Source organism: Homo sapiens, chromosome 7 (genome assembly GCF_000001405.40).
Source record: "Homo sapiens chromosome 7, GRCh38.p14 Primary Assembly".
In the NCBI taxonomy this organism is placed as follows: domain Eukaryota; kingdom Metazoa; phylum Chordata; class Mammalia; order Primates; family Hominidae; genus Homo; species Homo sapiens.
This window is the reverse complement of record NC_000007.14, coordinates 108298313-108318408: the sequence shown is the minus strand read 5'-3', so window position 1 is coordinate 108318408 and position 20096 is coordinate 108298313. Positions and strand designations below refer to the sequence as shown.

The 20096-nt window shown below is 38.1% G+C and overlaps 1 protein-coding gene across 105 annotated transcripts in view, besides 1 other annotated feature; it reads left to right on the top strand.

Annotated features, from left to right (window-relative positions):
* NRCAM (neuronal cell adhesion molecule) overlaps positions 1-20096 on the top strand; it is a 309072-nt gene that overhangs the window by 138312 nt on the left and 150664 nt on the right. For 102 of the 105 annotated variants that reach the window (NR_163870.1, NR_163867.1, NR_163869.1 and 99 more), the window contains one exon: positions 5678-5744. The gene's annotated coding sequence lies outside the window, so the exon portion shown is untranslated. Of the gene's footprint in view, positions 1-4356; positions 4438-5106; positions 5206-5677; positions 5745-20096 lie in introns of all 105 variants that reach the window. The other 3 variants (NM_001371131.1, NM_001371155.1, NM_001371165.1) reach the window with 2 other exon arrangements.
* Positions 9170-9464: a silencer, noted in NCBI's record as "tiled region #14594; HepG2 Repressive non-DNase unmatched - State 24:Quies". NCBI's record gives its function as "represses a minimal TATA promoter and a strong SV40 promoter by Sharpr-MPRA in HepG2 cells {active_cell/tissue: HepG2}" and the evidence as "EXISTENCE:reporter gene assay evidence [ECO:0000049][PMID:27701403]".

Sequence of the window (20096 nt, the reverse complement as noted above, 5' to 3'; positions counted from 1 at the left end):
TGTGTAGCCTGGGACCACATGCACCAGAACCCCCTGGGTCTGCCTATTAGAAAAGTGAATTTCTGGCCAGGTGCGGGGGCTCACACCTGTAATCCCAACACTTTGGGAGGCTGAAGTGGGCACATCACAAGGTCAGGAGATCGAGACCATCCTGGCTAACACAGTGAAACCCCATCTCTACTAAAAATGCAAAAAATTAGCCGGGCATGGTGGCCGGTGCCTATAGTCCCAGCTACTCGGGAGGCTGAGGCAGGAGAATGGCATGAACCCGGGAGGCAGAGCTTGCGGTGAGCCAAGATCCCACCACTCCACTCCAGTCTGGGCGACAGAGTGAGACTCCGTCTCAAAAAAAAAAAAAAAAAAAAAAAAGGAAAAGTGAATTTCCAGGTCCCTCCTAAATCTGCAGAATCAGATTCTCACAAAAACTCTATTTTCAATCTTCCCCCTTTCCTTTTCCTTTTCCTTTCCTTTCCTTTCTTTCTTTCTTTTTTTTTTTTTCTGGGACTGAGTCTCCCTCTGTCACCCAGGCTAGAGTGCAATGGCGCCATCTCAACTCACTGCAACCTCTGCCTCCTGGGTTCAAGTGATTCTCCTGCCTCAGCCTCCCTAGGAGCTGGGATTACAGGTGCCCGCCACCACGTCCAACTAATTTTTGTTTTGTAGTAGAGACGGGCTTTCACCATGTTGGCCAGGCTGGTCTTGAACTCCTGACCTCAAGTGATGCACCTGCCTCAACCTCCCAAAGTGCTAGGATTACAGGCGTGAGCCACCATACCCAGCCTCAGTCTTCCCCATTTTCTTAGATACGGTATTAGTTTATAGCCATCACACAGAGCCTTCTGTATTTGTTTTATGTTCAGTGAACTTGAAAAATAGTTTCTCACTATCTGCCATATAAAATTTTTGGAACCTTCATATATTCATTGACAGTTTAACTAGACTCCTTTAAGCTTTTTCTTCCCTAGGTGAAGTAAACACTATTACTTTAGCTGTTTCTACTAAGGAGTTATTTAATACCCTCTAATCAATTTTGCTCTACTGCTCTGAATACACTTATATTTTAAAATTAAATCTTCTTCCTAGATTATAGACATAGAAAAAGGACCAGTGAGAACAATATTTCATTTAAAGTTTCTATTATGTTCACAGTGTGCCAACTCTATTAGATAGGGCAGAGCTAGCTATTCTAACAAACCCCCAAACTAGAAACATCACACAATTAGAGTTCCCTCTCAGCTCATGTAACAGTTCACTGTTAGTGATGCAGACCATGAATTTGGAGGGAAGGATCTCTACTCTTCACCCAAGCTGACAAAGGCCATGCTGTGCAACTTTTCAGGTTACACTGGCATTGACATACAGCCAGAAATGGAGAGATAGGAGGCGTGGAAAAGACACATTTTCTTTTTAAACATCTGAACAAAGAAGTGACACATATTAGCTCTCTTACACCTTGCAGTCACACCTAGACACAAGGAGAACTGGAAATACAGACCCTGGACAGGAACTTCTTCTCCACAGCCATGTCTGTCTTACATGACAGAGAGAGGGCATGACTCTTTGTTAGACAGCTAGCCATGACTGCACACTGAACTTCTAGGTTTCTTTTTTTTTTTTTTTGAGATGGAGTCTTGCTCCATTGCCCAGGCTGGAGTGCAGTGGTGTGATCTTGGCTCACTGCAAGCTCTGCCTCCTGGGTTCACACCATTGATTGTTCTGCCTCAACCTCCTGAGTAGCTGGGACTACAGATGCCTGCCACTACACCCAGCTAATTTTTTTGTATTTTTTTTTTCTTTAGTAGAGACAGGGTTTCACCGTGTTAGACAGGATGGTCTTGATCTCCTGACTTCGTGATCTGCCTGCTTCGGCCTCCCAAAGTGCTGGGATTACAGGCGTGAGCCACCGTGCCCGGCCTGAACTTTTAGGTTTCTATTTGTACTTTTATGAAACCATGAAGTATACCAAGCACGAATGTCTCAGTCTGTTTTGTGCAACAGAGTACTATAGACTAGGTAATTTATAAGGAAAATAAATGTATTTGGCTCATGGTTCTGGAGGCAGAGAAGTCCAAGTTCAAGAGGCCTGCATCTGGTGAGGGCCTTCTTGCTGCATCATCCCGTAGCAGAAAACAGAAGGATGAGAGAGGGCAAGATAGAGTGTACATGAAAGCAAGAGGAAGAGGGGAACAGAAGTCACTTTTATGACAAATCCACTCTTGTGAGAACAAACCTACTCCCACAATATTGACGTGAATCCATGCATGAGGGCAAAGCCCCTCATGACCTAATCACCTCTTAAAGATCCCACCTCTGAACATTGTTGTATTTGTGATTAAGTTTCCCACATATGAACTTTGTGAAGCACATTCAAACCATAGCAACTGTGTACCATGGAAGGCTACATTTATGTATATGACAACATGATTTCCAGCATGCTGACAGTAAGGTGGTATATATCCAACATGTCCTCTATCAATGTAATTTGCTCACTATTGGATGTTTGCATCAGTCTACAAGGTAGCAAATGATAGTGTCACTTGAGGCAGTCAGATGCTTCTGTGAGTGATCAGTCTTCAGTCTTCAAGGACCAATGTGTTAATTTCTCTGAAAGGTAAAGCATGATCCACATTGGTTCACCTGCAAGTTTCTTGCTCGAATGGATCCCTTCTTGCTCCCACCCTAACTTCCACAAGATGTATAACATGGGGTCAGTCCCAAGTCCCAACAAGTTTAGTCTTGCAGGAGTAGGCTGAACTTGGTGCTAAACTTGGGGCCAGAAGTTAGGGGCCTGTGTTCCCAGGACCCCAGCCAGCTAGGTTGTGGTAGAGGGAGGGCCCTCTGGGTGCCATCTGATGGAGCTGTAGTTGGAGAACATGCTTTATCTCAGACCATACTGTCTGTTTTTTGGAATGTATTTTGTTTCATAGGCTGCTGTAATGGGAGAACTGGGTTTCAAGATGATTTTGGCTTCTGGCCTTGTCAAGCTGAATTAGCGGCTGGATGACAGGCATACCCTAGAGAAACCAAAGATAAATGCCAGTTTTAACAAGGTGGTTTTTTTATCCTTTTTTCTCCAGTTAAGTATGAATGGAACCCAAATTCAGTCCAAGGATCATGTCAAAGGCAGGAAATTAAGAAAAAAAAAGAGTTTGGGCTTAGTATGATTTTACTACTAGTCAAATTTCTGTTAAGACCAAAGATTAAATATAAATTTATAATTTACTGTCATTTTATAGTGATAAAAGGCAGAACAGTTTTGCATGTTGCACAAATACATACTTGTGCAGATATATAAATATATTCTTGCGTATAAAGTTTTCATAATTGATGTTCTGAAAACTATTTCTCATCTGTATTTATTTTGAAGAGTGTAGACAGAATTGACTGGGTTGTTGGGGGGGTGGGGGCAATCAAAGGCTTGATATCTTAATGTAATCTAACCTTTACTGTATTGTTAAGGAGGCCAGTTTTTAGAAATCAGCCTCACAAGAATCAAAGAGTAAACATCTCTAATATCTTTAGAGTTGAACTAAAAAGTATAAGCCAAATGAGATTTTGCAAGTTTTTGCCTGCTGATACTTTTTACCTAATACTGCTTGTAATAGCAGATTTTCAGTTGCATTGAATGTTATGAATTCTCATTTTAAAACCAAACAACTCTTTCTCTGCCAAAAAAGTCCAGCAAAAAAATGTGTCCCAATCCATAGCAATTTACTCTGAAACAGGAAGTTTATTATTTTATTTTTCCATAAGTGGCTAAGGCAAGTATTCACTTTTCAGAATTATTTGAATTTTTAGTGTTATATGCTATTGAATTACTATTATTGTAATTGATTTGTTATGTGTACTGTGGGCTTTGGGTTTCTTACATTTTTCGCGTGGATGTTATCTGTCTTTTCTGAAGGCTACTTTAAAAATACATCAAATCTTATCTTGACCTTTTGACTTAGGACTGATTTTATTTAATAGGGTAAGTTGATTGCATTTTGGTTAAAAAATTAAATTGTTACTTGGTTATTGGAAAAATAGTCCTTAGCAATGATGTATTACCCTATTCTCTTGACCTAAATGTGTTTTGGGGTAATGAAAGGCCATTGACACATTTGTCAAAACAAGAGTAATGAATGTAACAAAAAGTCATTTCCTAGAAATGTTGGGCATAATTGCTGACATGGTAATACAATTAATACAGTCTTTTGGTGGTCTTTGCAAACCCTTCAGGGTTTACATCACCACAAGGTGGTTAAAAATGTAGCAGTGCCCTATCAATAATATATATAAGCAAGGATGAAATAGTTTTTTCCACGTGATGCCATGGAACCATGTTATGCAAAATTACATATCTGTGCTTTTTAGAGCGTTTTGCCCTGAACTGGATTATGCTGAGAACTATTAAAACTTAGGAATCCATCAGCATGTGGACTGAGATCCCTCATGGTAGGAAGCATGAAGTATTTATATTTTATTTTTTTCTTGTTTAGATTTATCCAGTGAATTGGCGGATATGTATTAAGTGCTCAATATAAGTTTGCTGAATTGAGTTGTTATTGTAGATATATCTTAAAATTCTTATAGATGCTCTCCTACACAACTCTAGGGTTTTTTTTAAAAAGTGAAAACAATATTACTATAAAATTGGTTCCAATTCTAAGGAAAAATCACAAACCTCCACAATATTAATATTTTGTCCTGATAAAATATCATTGCTTCACATGCAATGAAAATCTATTAAGGGTGGTTTTATATGTAATTAACATTTTTTGCAACTTAATGCAGGGAATATTTTATAACACATACATAAGCAAAACCAGCTGAGATTATTAAGCATCTTTTATTAACGGAATAATTTTGTGTTTCATAGTTGTCCTAATATTTGAGTGCAGTCCAGAGTTCCTGAATTGACACTTGTTTCTCTTCTCTGAAGGGTTTTTCAGAGGTTGATAGTACGACTTCTGTTTCCAGAAATCCAAAGTTCAAAAAGACACAAATCCTCCCTTAGAAACCTTGGGTGTCACTGAATTGGTTGTTTAAAAAATGAAACTTAATGTGCTCAGCTGTGATTGTTCTACTCGCCATCCTTCCTCTCTTTCTCTGGCTAATTCTCAGCTGGACTATTTGCAAAGGAAACATTGAGGCTGACGAGAGGAGAGTTGGAGACTGCAGAACTTGGGAGCTGTCCACTGCTCTGCCTTTGTCACAGCCCAGGTGGAACTCACTCCTCAAATCTTGGTTGTTCCCAGCTTCTTTTTATGACCCTTGTTGAAAACCTGGGGCCTTTCAAACATAACCTAAAAAATTTCTATGCTACCAAATAAAAAAATTTAAATAATAATAATAATAAGCCCATAGCAAAGTATTTTATCCACACTGTATAGATACATTACAAAAACACCTTTATTCCTCTAAACTGAAAAGAGGAATCAGACGTGATTCTCTAGGCTGGAATCCTTTAATGGGATGTCCACCAGAGTTCTGGTCACTTCTCTGCTGTCACTTTTGATTGAAGCCAGCAGAGATATGTTTTGGCAAATCTAGTCATGATTTGTCTTCCTTGCAGGGCTCTCTCTTTAATTGTGTTTCCCATAAGAGAGCCAGTTGGAGTTAATATATTGACACTCTGCTGTGATTGATGACAATCAATGTCGTGTTAACGTTTCTCCCATTTTTTAACCCACAGAGCAATGCTAAGAAGACGTTTGGTTTAAAGAATTAAAAGGAAGAACAACTTAAGAGCTTCTTCAAAGGTAAGAGTTTGTCTTCTCAAAACATTTGAATTCGTAGTTAAAGATGAGAATTATAATATTAAATAATGTGATTATGTAATATTATTGCCATATTTAATACTTTTCAATCCAGAGAGTATGATAAAAGACAGAGAGTAGAAACATAGATGCAAAAACATTAATCATACCAATGTCAAAGAAGATAGATCAAATACATAGGGAAGTAAACCAGCCCTCATGTCCTTTCATAGTAATAAGATTTTTGTTTAAGTAAATCATGAATCATAAAGCCCAGAAAATAGAGAGCAGAGGCAAAGCACTGCTAGTAAAAATGTTTATAAAGGGACTAAAGATTAAAAATTATAGGGAATCATTTACAAGAAAATAATTTTCTTTTTGATTCAATAATATATCAAAAGTCTCCTGAGGGTATACCATCCATTAGTGATTTTTCTTGTCTCACAATGGAGTCCAAAGAATAAAAATATCTCCTTTGAAAGTTTAAATGTTACTTTGAAATGTGATTTCTGCTTTGTAAATTCCTTCCCCATTTCTTATTTCCTACCCCGCTGTCCGCCCCATTCTTATTTATGCCATTCAGCATTATCAGCTCTAGAATGGACCCTGTTAGGCCTATGATGCCTTCTGAAAGGCCATCTATTATAGTACTGAACTTGATGAAAAAATAATCTTACTTGGAGATCTGGAACACAGTTCAGAGAACTGTATCTCAACCAATAATAGCTTTTTTAAGGAATTATGAGAGCACGATTGTTCAGACATTCAGTTCTTTACCTTGTTGATTTCATTTAACAAATAAACTCATGGATTTTAGTTAAGGAAAGAAGATTGTATACAAGATTTTGAGATAGTAAAATCCTTTGAGCATGTTGTCTCTTGTTACTGAGAATTCTTAGGCTGATCCATTGAGATGTCCTTTTGTAATTGAAAGGAAATGATTCATGCCTCAGCTGAATTTGCTTCCATTGTGTTGTATTGAAACTGACTTCATATGACTAGTTCTTACAGTGTTTCAAAATACCATCAGAAATCCCCAAATTAGTAGACTGGAAACTAAGAATGTTGCTTTGTAAATCAAATAGCACAAATTTTGTTCTGCTTGAACAGTCCCTGAAAAGTGAAAATTAGCAGAGACTAGCAAAATTGATGTTAGGTAATTATGACCAACACCAAAATAGCCTTAATTTTGTACAAATGGCTCTTTTAAGAGAAAGCTCCCTTTGTTGAAGCAAAATGACCTATTTTATATAGTTTTTATGTACCCCTCTCCTCTACAAGTGTCCTTGTTTCATAAAGAACACCTGCAAGGTAAAGCAATGTGATAGTAAGTACCATCCATTCTGACAGGGACATATACCAAATTACAGTTGTTAGAAACTAGGAGTTACTAGTAATGGTATTAAGTATGGTGGCTTACCAGTACAATACTAGTATCAGCAGTAAGGTATGGAAAATTCTTTCGTAGATAATATATTGTCTGATATCTATAAGGTAGTAAGACACTGAGGGCGGGAGTTTATTTGTAAAAATGGTGTTTTCTGGTGAGCAGGGAAAACAGCGGCCACTGTGAGGAAGTACATGGTGCCCTTTTAAGGTGGAAACGCTTGGCTCAACAGCAGGTGCTCTCCCACTTCCTAGCCCACTCTCAGGTAGTTCTAAGGGAGTTTTTCTGGCTGGATGCATTATTTTTTCTTTCTTCCATCGTGTGAAGGGTACTCGATTGAAAATCTCTGTCTTCTAGAGCAACAAGTGAAAAGGCTCGATTCTTCTTTTCTCAATACACACTTCTTGTTGGTCTTTCTGGCTAGCCTTTTGTTAATTGGCTCAAGAGAGCTTTTAGTTGTCAGGTCCTATGAGAGCCACTAAAATGTCTCATTTTTTGGTTTCGTGAATGGTTGAATCTTGTCAAAACTAAATACTGAGTCTTCCCAATTTGTTTCCCTGGCCTCACAAAGACTGACTGAAACTTCCCAAAATTCTAAAGCACACTTATACTCAGAATGTCCCTAGGCTATTCAAGTATTTGGCCTCTGACATTAGAATAAATAAGTTTTTTTCGTAGCTACTTAGAGTTTTCAGTAGTTTTTCCCACATTCACTGGCATGCTGTGATGTTCAGAAAAATGCATGCAGCCAGAATTGTGGACTGTGGTTTGCAAACTCTCAGGCCCATCCCACATCCTTCTGTTTGGGAAGTGCCCTCTGTCTGCCCTTATCCAGTGTCACACATAAAAACTGCTCACGTTTGCCATTAACCCTAATGTGTACATTCTCTCCCTGGGAAATCTGTCTTCTACCTGCATTGAAAACCTTGAGCTAAAATGCAAGGCTGCTAGTGGTGGCATTTTGATAATCAACCAGAGTGAGGAGAGAGGATACCTCTGAAATCACTTCGTAAAATGAGTTTTCTGCTGGCCACATTCGTGTAAGTTTGGTCCTAGTAGTAACCATAAGGAGTCTGAGGAAGAAGAATGCCCAGGCTGCACCTTAAAGCATGTTCCCATTTGGCAGCAAGCTGTGTATGAAGAATAACCTGACAAGGTGCTGGAGTCATTTACTGACTGTTTTTGTGGATGACTTGAAATTTGTTCTTTCCCTTGGACTTTACAATACCGAGTTGTTAAAGTTATATGTACATCTTAGGAGAAGGGTAGTTACATCCTGAATAGATAATAGTAAAACTGGTAAGAGTAAAAAGACTTTTATCTTATAATTAAGTTGATTTGTAAAAGTGAACCTGTATTTTATTACAAAATCCTAATAGTTATACAATTTTAATGCTATTTATTTATTTAATTTATTTCTTTCTTGAGATGGAGTCTCACTTGTCACCCAGGTTGCAGTGCAATGGCGCGATCTCTGCTCACTGCAAACTCCACCTCCCGGGTTCAAGTGATTCTCATCCCTCAGCCTCCTGAGTAGCTACAATTACAGATGCATACCAACATGCCTGGCTACTTTTTGCATTTTTAATAGAGACAGGGTTTCACCATGTTGGCCAGGCTGGTCTTGAGCTCCTGGCCTCAAGTGATCTGCCTGCCTTGGCCTCACAAAGTACTGGAATTACAGGCATGAGCCACCATGCCTGGCCAATTTTTAATACAATTTAACAGTAAAGACAGCTATCAAAATTTTGTCCTACAGGATCATTTTAAGGCTGAGTTTAGTTGATACCAGTCAAATCAAGAAGACCCAGCACCCACAGAAAGAATACTTGCCCCATGAAGCTGAAGATTAAAAGCTCATGAATAAAGCAGTTACTCTGGGATGCCTAGAACTTATAAAAACCAAGACAGGGATCTAACTCCAAGTAAAAAATATTTACCTCTTTATTGTTTTATACCAGTAAAGTTTGATTCAATATGTAGTCATCTGGAAAACTAGAACAATCTTTTCTTATACAAATTAACTTCCTCCCTCTTCATTGTGACATAGCATGAAGGCAAGGCACAGATTTCAACTAAGTGACATCTCTTGAAACATTAGCATACTTGGACAGTCCCTCTATTGTGATCGTGATGAACTTTTTCACAGAATGACTACTTACCACTGAAATGCAGCATTCCTGGAAGCTGAATGACAATGCAGTGAAGAACATTCTGTTCTTTCAACCCAGGCGACTGCTCAGCTTTCCATTTCCACATGAAGTCTGAGCAGTGCTCTCTGTCCTGGGGTCAGATGGAAGCATATTAAATTCAATGTGCAACATTTCTGTAGGGAGGCTAAATTATACATTTCCTGATATTTATCTCTGAGTTTTATTCACATCCGTGATTGAGATGCCTTTATTGATTAGGCATCTCATTTCTGCCTCTTGCATCCTGTCCTCATTATTCTTATGGGACACAGCCATTTTTCTCTGGACATCTCACCTTATCCCCCTTCTCACCACTCCCACCACTCTGGGCTGCTCAGTTTGATAGCTGTTTCTGAAGGCTCAGAAAGAGCAGTTGAAATGTGTTTGAAGAAAGACATCAGCATTTTCTCTTGGGAGATAGCTGGGTAAGGATAATGCCATAGTGAGACAATGATGAAAACAGTGGCATTATGTTTTTGTGGCAGCAATAATTGGTGCTAGTAGTCAGTAGAAGGAATCCTGCAACTTTTATGTGTTCCCCCCTCTCCTCCCATTGTAGCCTAGTGGGGAGAAATATCTGGTTTGAAACTGGAAATAAAAAACTGCCTGAGTCACTCCAGTACATGAAATGTAGAGCACTTAGCATTTATACACCAAAGGGCTAATGCGTGACCTTTGCAAATAGCTTCTTGCATATACTTACTGGATTTGATTTCTTTTCCTTGCTGTACTTTTGGCTTGTAGTTCTTAACTGTTTTCTGGGATTATTAGAATCAGAACTCGTGATGAAATAAGTCTAGATTCGTGACCCATAGACTTTAATTTTGAGGTTCACCAAAATGACCAGAACAGTGCCACCAAAAGGCAGGGGCACTGCCCTGTGGCTCTTGTTCCCAGCAAGTACAACCTCTATTAAAATAATTCTCACCCTGAGAGGAAGCTTATTCCAAATGAAAGTTATAAATGGCATCCCTTATTCATTGAGTTAGGATCTTTGTATTCAGCATTCTTATCACCAGAATCATCATTTATTGAACTTTAATTGTGCAACATAACCTAATGGGTGAGATACTCCAAGTATGGACAATTGGAAGTGAGACACAGCAGGAATACTGGAAGGCCTCAGGTGTTCAGGTCCACATGGTACTCTATACAAAGGTAGACATGTGTGCCTAGGTTCTGCGGGTATTTTATCATGTCTCTTCCTTCCAGCATCTGGCCATTTCATCCCTGGCTGCTTTTGGAGGGAGTCGAATCCTGACAGGAGGGTTATCTAGGGAACTACCCAGGAGGAAAATGAAACCCAGTGTGGAGCAGGAGGCCAGGACCAGGCCCCTGCTGGTAATGCAGTATGTTGCTGTCACAACTGACTGCATACACAAATAGATGCTTGGGTTTTTTTTTTTTTGCTTTGCTTTGTTTTCTTTTATTTTGCCTTTCATGACAGCATTCATTTTGTAAGGCAAAGAAAAAAATCTCTTGGATGGATTCAAGTTTTCATATCTGCAGAAGGCATTTCTACAGCTATTGTCAAACTTAGCTGGTCTGTAAAGATTCTTTGTTTCTGGTTGACTGTTGCAGAAAGCAAGTTCATAAACTACCACGAATACAGGAGAGAATGATTTCTATTGAAAGAGTCGAGTAGGATATGGTGCATGGAGCCAGTCCTGAAAAGGGTTTTGTTTCTTGTAGCATGGTGGAAATTCACATTCACATTGCTGCTCTGTGCTCTTTAGCATGCTACAGTGAAACAATGGGCATGCCAGCCGTTATAGCAGTGTTGATTAATGCATTCCTTGAATGTGTTGATTAATGTGTTCCTGGGATGCCTCCTTAAGCCGCCACTGCACCTGAGGTGTGTTGGATATGCCTTCTCCCCGGCTGCTGCTTCGCTCACATGAGCCCTTTTACACATGGGTCTTTTGTGTGTATATTTCACACCATTGCCTTTATGAATAAAATACAGATCTAGCAGACTTTTTACAGACATATTATCATCTGACAGAAGTGTCTACATTATAATCTAGTTGGGACTCTATAAACTATGATGTTCATAGGAGGAATGCTCTTCTAATAAACACAAATGCTTGGTGGCATGGCTTAGTGGCATCTCTCTGTCCTGTGCATAATCCCACCCAGGGATTTATTTTTATTCTTTTCAAAAGTTTTGTAAAGAAATAAAACTGAAAATACTTATGGAGTACAGTTTGCACTTGAATAATATGGGAAGAGATGTGTAAATGGATTGCCCATTAGACACTTGGTACACTTGGAGTCTCACTTGGAAACCCACTCCTTTCAGGCCAGACAGGGTAATTCTGTTTCCACTCTGCTTCATTCCAGGTTGTGACTTCTCCTGCTGTATTCTGAATTCTCATTAAATAACATGTTTGTTTCGTAGCATGTTTCCAGAAAGACTTACCTTGATGTGGTTCTACCTAACTAATGGTTTGAAAAAGATAAGTGGGAGGTTTTTGTAATTTGTAACTTGTAATTTGAGACATAAGACTTCTACTACTACTTTAAAAACTTTCTAACCTTTTAATTCTCAGCAAGAAGACCAAAAGGATTAGAAAGCCATGTTTTAAAATGATGTGAGAAGGTTCAGCCATAGAAGAAATGGCCCAGTGGTGCTGGGGTGATGGCATTGCCTGCTGTGCCTTGAGGCTCACACTATAGTATTTTAACAGAGGAAACCATCCGTGCTATTCAGAAAAATTACCTTTAACATTGGTAAAAGCAAAGCAAACAAATTCATCTTGAATAAGAGGGAATTTTTATATAATAAAAAATTATCGTATGAAGCCATTATATAAAGAAGTGGTAAAGTCTACAATATTTATTGCTCTTAAATCTTGGCATGAAATTAATGGTGAAGGATGGCATTTTGATATTTTTAAGAATAAGACTTCAATGAGGATTCTTTATTCTTTTAACACATATTAGTGACAAGACTATTCAAAGGTCTGCTTTGAGGTTCACAGAATACATAACTTCTGTTATTTCAGTAATAATAATTAACCCCAAAATTCACTATTATTTTAAATGGTTGTTTATATCTGTCTCACAGAGAGTATTTGTGGAAAATGGAAAATATTGAATTATTTCTTTTGCATTTGCATACATAAACTTCTCTTTTGGAACTTGCGGTACACAGAATATGTGTTTAAATCATTTTAATACATGTTAGATTTGGAAGCTATATTTGGAAACACTAATCTTATTTGAAATGTATTAGTTTTCAGATAACTTTTAATTATACGATCTATTTAAAAGCAAAATGCACCAAAAAGGTATCTAAGAGGGAGTATACATGTATAATTAGATATGCATTTTCTTGGTTTGCCTTGAATTCTGCAAGAATTGAAGGGGTAAACAAAGAGAAGCAGTGAGCACAATTAATCTGGTTTTCTGCAAAGCTTTTGATACTGTACTGAATAAAGCTGCTGACAGAAGCTGTTAGCTTGGGGAAGGAAAGGCCATAGGAGGAACAGGTTATGAAAGGAGAGAATGGAAGGCAGAGGACAGTCCAACACGGAGAAGAAGCACAGGGGAAATGGCTTCTGCACATTTCTATTTATTTACTTTTGTCAAAAAGCACAGAGAAGATGCAGTTAATGTAGTTTCCTAAATGGCTTCGTTCCCTGGGGCAAAAAACAAAAAACAAAAAAACAAAAAACTGAGAAGGATCTTGACAAATATGACTAGACAAAAGTACCATATTTAAATGATTCAAATGACCTGGAAAATATATCTACGTTCCAAGTGTCCTATAAAATATTTCTTTATTATGTAACATTTCTCTCTTACTGAGAATCCAACTATAGATATTCTTTAATGCAAAAACAGTCTTCAAATCGATTTGATTTGCCAAATAATAAGTTATTTGACTGGGATATATTTTTAAAGGTATCTGAAAAACTTTCTTGCCATAGAGGAGTAGGAAAAATAAATATATTCTACCCAAACCAGAAGTCATCCCTAAGGAAAACATACCCTAAATTTTCCCCTGGGTCTTCTCATTGATGGTTGTTGATAACCCAGACAGGTTTATGGTAGATTGATAGACATTTTTATTTTCCTGAAAACAGACCTTTAGATGCTAAGATTTTTCTTCTGTAGATCAATCTCCAAGTTCAGCAAGGAGGTAGATTTCAAATACCTACATTATAATAGACTTCTTGATTCTGTCCAAATTATTTTCTTTTTTGTAATGTAGCTGCCTTGATCCAGTAAGTGAGCCAATATCTAGGGTATGGAAAGACCCTTGTTACAAAGAGTACATAATGGAAAGCCTTTCTTTTATAAAACAGATTTCCCTCAGTTATGAGTCAAATGTGGTTCCCCATAAGAAGCATGTTCAGTAATCATTGAATGAGTGCTGGGAACATTGTTTATAGTTGAACCTAGAACCTCAACATTTTATTGATAATAAATCACAGTTTATTCTGAAGTCATTTGGGTCTCATTGGTACAAATAAGATACTAATTTATGGAATCTACATGTAATGCCTGTCTGGTGGCCATCTTTATTAATAAACATTATCTATTGCTTGTTATAAATAGGGAACTGAGAGAGGTGATAAAATGCAAAAAGAGCCAGATACAGCTCTTGCTCTTCAGGGAATCACACTCATTCAGATGTATATGTATAAATTGACTGTTCATATACACACATATGTACATCAAAAAAAAAAAAGCATGGAATAGCATTATTGATGGTTAAATGTGTTGTAGAGGCCAAAAGTGCTCTAGGAGTTCAAAAGAGTGGTGACCAGTAGGTACTGGGAGACTAACCAAGGTTTATGACTGGTTTGGACTTTAACTGATCATTAAGGAAGAATTATTCTAAAAGTAGTTTAGAAAAATTAAAAAGAGTAGAAATTACAGTGGGGAAAATCACAATGTCTTGAGTGGGGAGGGAGATAAGCATGGTATTTGAATAGTAAAAGAGAAAACAAGTAAACCTGTTTAAAGCAGCAAGTAGACCTAAGAAATGATTGAAAGTAATTTTGGAGAGGTGTTCACTTCTTCCCTCCTTTCTTCATGAATGAATGATCATTTATACATTCATTCATAAGTGAGCTACTGTGCTTCAGATATTCCTAAACAGTAGCAAGTAAGCTGTACATGGAGTGTATACAGCACAGTAATTGCAATGTGGTGTAATTAGTACAAAAATATGAAAATATACATATATATTATGTATCTGTATTGTGTACATATACATGTAAAGGTGTAATAGTGATATAAAGGTAAATGTAGCAACTCTGCATGGTGGCATCAGGAAAATCCTTGAGAAAGAACATGAAACATGGGTGGACATCCCCCAGGCAGACATGGAGAAGGACATTCCAGGCTCTGGGAGAGCCGAGGCCAACTAGATCCTACATGAAGCCATGTAGTAGATACACTCCAAGTGCCTTGGTATATGATTGAAGGTGGAGAAGTTGGAGGTGCTGTGAAGACAGGTTGGAGAGGTCATCTGTGGCCAGGAATTTGGGATAGATTATGGGATTCCATTTACAGATTTTGAGTACAGGAGTCACGTGGTCAGAGCTGAGTTCAGAACAGACACCCCAGCAGCTATATGTAGAATAGATTGGAGTACTGGTGAAATCAGAAGCTGGAAACCAGTAGGAGGCTAGAGATGATAAGAAGCAATAGAGCTTGGGCCACTGTCCTAGCAGAGGGGCTGAAGAGGAGACGGTACACAGTATATTTGCCAACTGAGAATGAAGAATGAGGAAGAGCAAGGCCTGATCTCTGCCATTAGAGACTGGACAGATGGTGGTGATACTGACCAGAGTAGAAAATGTACCTGAACAGCCAGCCACAGTGGCTCATGCCTGTAATCCTAGCACTTTGGGAGGCCGAGGTGGGTGCATCACTTGAGGTCAGGAGTTCAAGACCAGCCTGGCCAACATGGTGAAACCCCATCTCTACTAAAAATATAAAAATTACCTGGGCGTGGTGGCACGTGTCTGTAATCCCAGCTACTCAGGAGGCTGAGGCACGAGAATTGCTTGAACCCAGGAGGCAGAGGTTGCAGTGAGCCAAGATGGAGCCACTGCACTCCAACCTGGGCTGCAGAGCAATACTCTGTCTCAAAAACTAAAATAAAATAAAAAATAAAATGCAGCAGAAGGGCTGCTTTTAAGAGGAAGACAGGACTGTGATGAATCTGTTGTTTAAAATATGTCTAATTGTGAATATACTATACTGAGTTTGAATTATATTCAGTTATGAACTCATTAAGTTCTTGAGTGAGAAGTGATATATGCCCAGTGTTGTTTTGAGAAGGCTAATTTGGCATCTATATTTTAGGAAAGTTTGGTGAAAGGACATAGAAGATGAGAAAAGCAGTTAGGAAATTATTGCTTTGCTAGATATATTTGTACTGAGATCCCAAAACTACAGGTGAGGCCATGGGAATGGTAGGCAGAGATGCTGGGAGTCAAGCAGGTTGCCCCTTGAGGAGGACAGTAGCTCCTTGCCTTCTGTCACTTTGTTTAAATTTACCAAGAACTTTAGTTCCATCATTCTGTGAATACAATCTTATTTGAGACATAATTTGTTCTCAGTTGGACATCTTAAATGGAATTCACAAAACAGGGTTGGCAGCAGTGATAACTGGTCATCCCAGTTTGTCCTGAGATTTAGTGTACTTTTTTGAAGAAGAGGAGTGGTTTCTCGGGGACTCCATGCAAGTAGAATTCATGCCATCAGTCATCTCCAAGAGAACTAGCTGTAGAAACCAAAAGGTCAAAAACTTATATTAACTGAGGGACCTAGAATGTGCACAATTCAGACTGAAATTATTTTCTCAAAGAGTGATCTGAATGAAGAAAATTTTGCCAAGAGCAAAAATGAAGGAAAACAGTACATAGCATTCCCAAGGGTCACTGGAAACATTTTTTGAAGCAATAACACGGAACAATATGTCATTATTACTAAGCAGACAAATTTGAGTGAAATATAAGGGGAAAGAGCTGCATTGTTTCTGTTGTTGATTTGTTGTGGGTTTTTTTTTTTGTACTTTGGTCACTATTTAGAAAGGGTGATCAGTTAGACACAGGCCACATGTTTAAGGTGATATTTCTGTGAAACATTTTCATCTTAATAATTATTTCATATTTATTATGATGAAAGGCATTTAACCCTAGAGCATGTACAAAGCTGAGTCGCAAGTCTCAGAAATAGTGTCCTAAAGTGATGTATTGGCCTCAGAGGGAATTCGTATGTACTTATACACAAATTCACCATAATGAATGCACCAAATCATACTTTTAAATGCCCAAATAATTCATATTCATAAATTTTTCATTTTGAGCCCCTAGATATTTTTTAATCAAAACCCATACCACTATCCATTCATCTTCCATTCAATCAAATGGAAAAGAGCCATATTTTTTTCAAAAATAGCAAAATTATCTAATTTCCCTTCTACTTCTCATGTCCATAGGATAAGCAAAAGAAAAAAAATCTGAAACACCTGAGTTGGCACTTTAAAAATTTTTCCCAGAAACATGAGATGGGATGGTCAGAGGTCATGCAGTTGGTGTCATGGGGGCACCCTGCCTGTTTTCTTCTGTAGCTCATACCGGTCACGCCTTGTTGGTGCTAATGACTTCCCAGGTGCCTGGTACCAATTCTTCATTAGTTGCTGTTGTCCTAGAAATCTGTGTAGGTCATGGAACCTATTTTCTGGAAAACCACTTAATACTTATTTTAATTTCTGTAAATGTTGTCTGTGGAAAAGAACATTTCCACATTTTGCTTGCCATTGTTCTGAATCTGACTGGCAGATAACACACTTTGGCATCTGTAATGAAATTACATTAATCGTCTGTCCTTAACTCTTTTCCTGGTAAAAGGAATGGGAAATCTTTGTTCAGATATGCAATAACAGTATTTTAAAATTGTTCAAATTATATAGAATTCTTTGCAGATTATGTTAGAGAATTCATTACAATTTAAATTCATTTTATTATCAAAATTATTCTTTGTTTTTTGGTATTACATAATGGTCTTCCTTATAATGGAGTGTTTTACTTCTATTTATAGAATATAGAGAATGTTGTGTAGTTTGCTGTTTTATTTTTTTAAAGAACTATTTTTAACAAAAATTTGATTCAATGAAATGTAATTCTATTTCCTGAATAAAACGTAAAATAAAACATAATTTTTTAAGAAAAGCTTTAAAAAAACGTAATTTTTTTAAAAAGCTTTCTGTTATTGAGTTGTATTGAGTATGATATTTTAATCAAAAATTTGAATTTAAAAATAATCTTTTCTAAGATTGAGTTTCTCTTAAGTCATAAAATATTTTACTGCCCCCAGATGAGCACCATAATTTTAATGTCACAATAAATTAGAAAAAAAATGGAGAAATTCCAGGTTGCAAAGCCAGATCTGATACAAATTTTGCCTGATGCCTTTATCATTACCTTACACTTCCACCTAGCCTATGTGCCTCAACAGGATAGACATGTGACATTTTTCTTTGGAAATTTGACTTAGTCTTTTCAATGGTGTCCCTAGTTTAACACAACATGGAGGCAAAATGTTTTCTAGAAGGATCTCAACTTACCCAGGGATGCATTTCTCTTTTGCTTCTCTGTTTGTTTGTGTATGCATGACATAATGACCTTTTTAGAAAATAGATGTTTATTATAAAAATAGCATCTGGTATCCTCTAACATTTTATTGCATAAAGATAAATTAGTTTAATTTTATATAATATATTTTAACTTCTTCCCAATGGTGATGGCCTTCTTCAATATTTAATAAGGTAAAATTAGCATAGTATTACAATAACAATTGCGAATAATCAAATATGCCCTAAGCAGTGTTTTTTCAATATCAGGGCTTTGTCTCTCTTCTCTTGCTCTTTTGTAAAAAAAAAAAAAAAAAAAAAAAAAAAAAGTCAACAGAAATTTGGGGAAGGATTACATTTGTATGTAGGCAGTAATATCTTAACAGGAGGCTTAGATATTCCTAGTGATACCTGTTGTGAAAACCATATGTTCTACTGTAGTAAAAGCAGTCACCATTTATTGAGGCTTACCATGTGCTAGACATGTTCTAAGTACTGCACATGTTTTATCTCATCCTCACAGTAACTTGTTATTTATACTCATTTTATAGATGAAGACATCGAGGTACAGTGTTAATTACATCACTCAGGGACACAGAGCTAGTAAACCGTAGAGCAGGGCTTCAAACCAAGGCAGTCTAATTCCAGAGTTCATGTACTTCACCACCACATCGCTGCTTGGACACAAAATGTGCCCACCAGAATGCTTAATTAGTTCACAAGAGCTGCACTTGGCCTTGAGACTTCTGGTCAATGTGCTGTATGTACATGACAAATAAGGTCTCATATGGAAGTCAAAGTTATTACCCGGCTGCCCGTTCACATCAAATAATAAATCTAAAGACTGTCAAGGTTGTTGCACTGCACATGTGGCTCTAAATATCTATTCCATGTTTGTGTGCATTGCAGAGAATAAATAGGTGCAACAGAAAGAGAAAAACAAATTCCAGACCAAACAATATAATATGGTTAGGAATGCTTGCCTGCTATTACATTGGGTATTCTTATCTTTTATATGACTGATTCTATCTGAAAAAAAATTCTTGGACTGTAGTGTCATTGTGGTTTGCTCACAGGTCTGACCTTTGTCCACAGTAATAGAAATCGTGGTAATGAAAGCTCACTTTTTATACCTTTTCCTCAACCCATGCCACCTCTTCTTTCCTAGAGCTGTCACCCAGGAACTTGAGCCACGTTTTATTCACACAGGATTTCAAAGGCAGCTCGGTAACTACTGCTTCTCAGAAGAAATTTACTGATAGCTGCTTTGATGTGACTTTTTACTCCTTTCCCTGGCCCCTTTGCGTCCTCACCCAGTGTTTTGGGTTTTTTTTTTTTTTACTTTTCTTTTCTTTCTTTCTTTCTTTCTTTCTTTTTTTTTTTTGAGATGGAGTCTTGCTCTGTGGCCCAGGCTGGAGTGCAGTAGTGTGATCTTGGTTCACTGCAAACTCTGCCTCCTGGGTTCAAGCGATTCTTCTGCCTCAGCCTCCCAAGTAGCTGGGATTACAGACATGCACCACCAGGCGCAGCTAATTTTTGTATTTTTAGTAGAGACAGGGTTTCACCATGTTAGCCAGGCTGGTCTTGAACTCCTGACCTCAGGTGATCTGCCCGCCTCGGCTTCACAAAGTGCTGGGATTAGGCATGAGCCACTGCGCCTGGCCCCGTATTTGTGTTTTAATAAAAGAATCTGGAAGATAAATAGTCTTGAAGAGAGACAAAGGAAGGAAAATTTAAATCCTTAGATTCAAGCAGAAGAATTCCATGTGGAAGGTTTGGGTTTGTTGTTGTTGTTGTTTGGTGTGTTTTTTGTTTTTTTGTTTTTTTGGTTTTTTTTGAGATGGAGTCTCGCTGTGTTACCCAGGCTGGAGTACAGTGGCGCGATCTCGGCTCACTGCAAGGTCTGCCTCCCGGGTTCACGCCATTCTCCTGCCTCAGCCTCCTGAGTAGCTGGGACTATAGGCGTCCAGCACCACACCCGGCTAATTTTTTTTTTTTTTGTATTTTTATTACAGACGGGGTTTCACCGTGTTAGCCAATATGGTCTCCATCTCCTGCCCTTGTGATCCTCCTGCCTCGGCCTCCCAAAGTTCTGGGATTACAGGCATGAGCCACCGTGCCCTGCGGGTTTTTTTGGCGGGGAGGGGGTTGTTTTGGATAGAGGAGTCCTGTCCTGT